Consider the following 6,000-nt stretch of genomic DNA (forward strand, 5'->3'; position numbering starts at 1 on the left):
GATGTGGAGAACCTTTATGTCTAGCTCAGGGATTGTAAATACACCAATGGGCACTCTGTATCTAGCTCAAGGTTTGTAAACACACCAATCAGCACCCTGTGTTTAGCTCAAGGTTTATGAGTGCACCAATCGACACTCTGTATCTAGCTGCTCTGGTGGGGCCTTGGAGAACCTGTGTTTCCAAACTCTGTATCTAACTAATCTGATGGGGATGTGGAGAACCTTTGTATCTAGCTCAGGGATTGTAAACGCACCAATCAGTGCCCTGACAAAACAGGCCACTGGGCTCTACCAATCAGCAGGATGTGGGTGGGGCCAGATAAGAGAATAAAAGCAGGCTGCCTGAGCCAGCAGTGGCAACCTACTCCAGTCCCCTTTCACACTGTGGAAGCTTTGTTTTCTTGCTCTTTGCAATAAATCTTGCTACTGTTCACTCTTTGGGTCCACGCTGCTTTTATGAGCTGTAACACTCCCCGTGGAGATCTGCAGCTTCACTCCTGAGCCCAGCAAGACCACAAGCCTACTGGGAGGAATGAACAACTCCAGACGTGCTACCTTAAGAGCTGTAACACTCACTGTGAAGGTCTGCAGCTTCACTCCAGAGCCAGCGAGACCACAAACCCACCAGAAGGAAGAAACTCCAAACACATCTGAACATCAGAAGGGACAGACTCCAAACACGCCACCTTAAGAGCTGTAACACTCACTGCGAGGGTCTGCGGCTTCATTGTTGGAGTCAGGGAGACCAAAAACCCACCAATTCCGGACACAAAATGATCTTCTCACCTCAGCCTCCCAAGTAGCTGGTACCCAGGTGTGTGCCACTCAGAGGTGACAGCATGCTGGCAGTCCTCACAGCCCTCATTCGCTCTTGGTGCCTCCTCTGCCTGGGCTCCCACTGTGGCGGCACTTGAGGAGCCCTTGAGCCCACCACTGCCCTGTGGGATCCCCTTTCTGGGCTGGCCAAGGCCAGAGCCGGCTCCCCAACGTGGAAGGAGGTGTGGAGGGAGAGGCACCAGTGGGAACCGGGGCTGCACGCAGCGTTTGCAGGCCAGCTGGAGTTCCGGGTGGGCGTGGGCTTGGCGGGCCCCGCACTCGGAGCAGACGGCTGGCCCGGCCGGCCCCGGGCAATGAGGGGCTTAGCACCTGGGCCAGCGGCTGGGGAGGGTGTACTGGGGCCCCCAGCAGTGCCAGCCCACTGGCGCTGCGCTCAATTTCTCACCAGGGCTGAGCTGCCTTCCCGTGGGGCAGGGCTTGGGACCTGCAGCCCGCCGTGCCTGAGCCTCCCACCCCCTCCGTGGGCTCCTGTGCAGCCCGAGCCTCCCCGATGAGTGCTGTCCCCTGCTCTACTGCGGCCAGTCCCATTGACCACCCAAGGGCTGAGGAGTGCGGGCGCATGGCGCAGGACTGGCATGCAGCTGCACCTGCAGTCCCGGTGCAGAATCCAGTGGGTGAAGCCAGCTGGGTTTCTGAGTCTGGTGGGGACGTGGAGAACCTTTATGTCTAGCTAAGAAATTGTAAATACACCAATCGGCACTCTGTATCCAGCTTAAGGTTTGTAAACACACCAATCAGCACCCTGTGTCTAGCTCAGGGTTTGTGACTGCACCCATCAACACTCTGTATCTAGCTACTCTGGTGGGGCCTTGGAGAACCTTTATGTCTAGCTCAAGGTTTGTAAACACACCAATCAGCACCCTGTGTCTAGCTCAGGGTTTGTGAATGCACCAATCGACACTCTGTATCTAGCTACTCTGGTGGGGACTTGGAGAATCTCTGTGTCCACACTTTGTATCTAGCTAATCTGGTGGGGACGTGGAGAACCTTTGTGTCTAGCTCAGGGATTGTAAACGCACCAATCAGTGCCCTGTCAAAACAGACCACTCGGCTCTACCAATCAGCAGGATGTGGGTGGGGCAGATAAGAGAATAAAAGCAGGCTGCCCGAGCCAGCAGTGGCAACCCGCTCGGGTCCCCTTCCACACTGTGGAAGCTTTGTTCTTTCGCTCTTTGCGATAAATCCTGCTGCTGCTCACTCTTTTGGTCCACACTGCCTTTATGAGCTGTAACACTCACCACGAAGGTCTGCAGCTTCACTCCTGCCTGAGCCAGCAAGACCACGAACCCACCAGAAGGAAGAAACTCCGAACACATCCGAACATCAGAAGGAACAAACTCCAGACGCGCCACCTTAAGAGCTGTAATAGTCACCGCGAGGGTCCGCGGCTTCGTTCTTGAAGTCAGTGAGACCAAGAACCCACCAATTCCGGACACACCACCACTCCCGGCTATTTTTGTGTGTGGGTATTTTTAGTAGAGGCAGGGTTTTGCCATGCTGCCCAGGTTGGTCTTGAACTCCTGACTCAAGCAATCCACCCATGTCAGCCTCCCAAAGTGTTGGGATTACAGGAGTGAGCCACTGCGCCCAGCCTCTTTTAATATCTGTATAGTTTCATGTATTACACTTGGATCCTTGATCCATTTAGAGTTAATTCCTGTGTGTGGTGTACAGATTGGACCTCATTTTATATTTTTCCAGATAACTAGTCAGTATACCCAGCACCTTTTACAAATCTTTGTCCCAGTAACATATATTTATTCTTTAAAAATTCTGGTGATAAATACAAGTTTAAGGAAGAAAAAAATCACAAACAAATCCTACCCAGAGATAACCGCAAATTATGTTTTGGTAGACTGCTCTGGTTTAAATATTTGACCCCTCTGAAACTCATGTTGAAACGTACTCCCCAATGTAACAGTATTAAGAGGTGAGGCTTTTAAGAGGTTATTGGGTCATGAGGGCTGTGCCCTCATTAATGGATTAATCCATTCATGGATTCATGGGTAATCATGGGACTGGGTCTGTTATAAAAGCCAGTTTGGCAAGTTCTTGTCCTCTCACCATGTGATGCCCTCTGCCATATTATGATGCTGTAAGAAGTCCCTTACCAGAAGTGGTCCCTCAACCTTGGACAACCAGCCTCCAGAACTGTAAGAAATAAATTTCTTTTCTTTGTAAATTACCCAGTCTCGGGTACTCAGTTATAGCAACAGGAAACAGATTAAGACAATGACCATACTTCCCTACCTTTCCCTATTCATACGCGTGCGTGCACACACACACACACTTTTACAAAGATGGGATCTCATACATGCTGTTTTTATCACGGGCATGTTTATTCACACTTTTTTTTTTTTGCCCCATCCCTAAACATAATTAACAGCCTGTTATGTGACTTTTAGCACCTTTAGTCATGTCCAGTTATTCATATACAAACCTATTCATACATGCATAGGCTGTTCTTGTTGTTTGCTTTACAAATAACAAAACGGGTTCATACTGTATATGCTTCTCAGCATTGTATCCTTGCTGCTTAATGAAACTTTGAGGAATTCCTCTAAGTCTGCTGGTATAGACTTAATTCCTCCTTTTTTGTTTTTGTTGTTGTTTTTTAGAGACAGGATCTTGCTCTGTTGAACAGGCTGGAGTGCAGTAGTGCAATCATAGCCTACTGTAGCTTTGAAGTCCTGGGTTCAAGCAATTCTCCTATTTCAGCCTCCTAAGTAGCTGGGACTAAAGGTGTATGCCACCACACCTAGATAATTTTTTTTTACTTTTTATTTGTAGAGATGGGGTCTTACTGTATTGCCCAGACTGGTCTTGAACTCCTGGCCTTAAGAGATCCTCCCACCTCGGCCTCCCAAAGTACTGGGATTATAGGCATGAGCCCATACCCAGCCCTAATTCTTCCTTTTTTAATGGCTAATAGTCAATATTATTGATGTATTATTAAATACTGATGGGCATTAACTGTTTTCCTTTGCCACTGCAAACTGAGCTATCACTAACATCCTTGTACACATATCCTTTTATAGTAGTGTTCTCATTTCTGTGGTACTTTTCAACTTAAACTCGTCTATATTGTGAATTTTTATCATGAGCAACTATTAATTTTATTTTAAAAAGCAAAATCTATCACTGTATAGAGCTTGAGTTTACAATCAGATGCATCTGAATTCAAATCCTCTAAAACTCAGACACTGCTGGTGGGAGTGTGAAATAATGCATCCACTTTGGAAAACCATTTGGCATGATTTACTAAACTTGAGCATACATATACACTGTGAGCCAGCAAATTTACTTCTAAGCATATCCAACACAAATACATGCACATGTATAACTCAGAGAAGTGTCCAAAGATATTCTTATCACTTCTATTTGTAATAGCTCAGAACAGAATATTCCAAATGTCTGACAATAGTAAAAATCAATAGATTGTAGTATATTCTGACAATATAATGCTGCATAGCACCTTTTCTCAAAAATGTGATCTGTGGATCTCTGAGGAGTCCCCAAAACCTTTACAAGGGGTCCTCAAGGTCAAAATCATTTTCATAACACTAAAAGGATATTTGCCTTCTTCATTGCATTGACACATTGACATTTGTACTGATGGTGCAAAAGCAAAGATATATATATTGCCAGCACCTCAGCACAAATCAAGGCAGTGGTACCAACTGTACTGGTATTCATGGCATTCTTCACCCTACACACTCAGTAAACAAAGTCCTTGATGAAGAAGTAAAAATCAATTCTATCAAATCTAATCATTGGGTACATTGTCCATATGATGAGCTAGGAAGCATGCATAAGGCACATCTGTTACACACCAATGTATAATGGTTGTCTTGAGGAAAAGTACTTGTTAGAGTTGTGAGCTGAACTAGACAATTTTGTCATGGAACCCTATTTTTACTTGAAAGAATGGCTAACAGACGAACTACAGTTATTCAGATTTAGGCTTTTGGCAGACATTTCCTGGAAAATGAACAAAGTGAGTCTGTCACTTAACTAGCAGTATATGCTACCAATGATAATATTGGAGCTTTCTCCAGGCACAGTTCCTCACGCCTGTAATCCCAGCACTTCGGGAGGCTGATGTGGGAGGATTGCTTGAGCCCAGGAGTTCAAGACCAGCCCCAGTAATGCGGTGAGAGCCCATCTCTAAAAAATACATAAATGAATAAAATATATGGGAGCTTTCAAGTAAAAAAGAGAATTTTAGAAAATCTGTATGAGCTTGACAGCGTCCCCATGCTTAAAGACTGTCCTGATGAGGTCTGTGGTAATAGTAACAAATGTGATTTTTTAAATAATATATGGCAAAATCTGTTAATATTTGGAAGGTCTGCCTGCATACCTCAGTAAAACAATATTTTCCAAAAGCATATTGTTACAAAATTAAGCATGGGTAAAAGATTAATTCAAAGTACGAGATAAATTAATGGATTTTTAAAGCAACTATATTAAGGAATAATTGACATACAATAAACTGCACATATTTAAAGTGTATGATTTGATAAGTTTTGATAGACGTGGATACCCGTGAAACCAGCATCATAACAAAGATGATGAGCATACCTAAAAACCCAAAAATTAGTTCATGCTCCTTTGTATTCTCTCACTTGCACACTTCTTTCTCTTCTCCAAACCATCCCCAGGCAAACCCTGGTCTGTTTCCTGTCCCAATAGATTATTTGCATTTTCTACAATTTTATAACAATGGAATCATATAGGCCAGGTGCGGTGGCTCACGCCTGTAATCCCAGCACTTTGGGAGGCCGAGGCGGGCGGATCACGAGGTCAGGAGATTGAGACCATCCTGGCTAGCACAGTGAAACCCTGTCTCTACTAAAAAATACAAAAAATTAGCCAGGCATGGTGGCAGGCGCCTGTGGTCCCAGCTGCTCAGGAGGCTGAGGCAGGAGAATGGCCTGAACCCAGGAGGCAGAGCTTGCAGTGAGCTGACATCACACCACTGCACTCCAGCCTGAGCAACACAGTGAGACGCTGTCTCAAAAAAAAAAATGGAATCATATAGTATGTGCTCTTTTTGTCTAGCTTCTTTTACTCAGTATAATCATTTTAAGATTTATCCACATTGTTGCATGTAGTATTTCACTGCATGGATACACCACAATTTATGCATTCACCTACTGA

The 6,000-nt window shown here is 45.2% G+C and overlaps 1 long non-coding RNA gene across 1 annotated transcript in view; it reads left to right on the forward strand.

The window, feature by feature from the left end:
* LINC03098 (long intergenic non-protein coding RNA 3098) overlaps window positions 1–3,022 on the forward strand; it is a 44,082-nt gene extending 41,060 nt beyond the window's left edge. The window contains exon 4 of the long non-coding RNA NR_110396.1: window positions 462–3,022. This is a non-coding gene — a long non-coding RNA (long intergenic non-protein coding RNA 3098). The remainder of the gene's footprint in view (window positions 1–461) is intronic.
* Window positions 3,023–6,000: the final 2,978 nt, after the last annotated feature.

The sequence above is a fragment of the Homo sapiens genome, chromosome X (assembly GCF_000001405.40).
Source record: "Homo sapiens chromosome X, GRCh38.p14 Primary Assembly".
In the NCBI taxonomy this organism is placed as follows: Eukaryota; Metazoa; Chordata; class Mammalia; order Primates; family Hominidae; genus Homo; species Homo sapiens.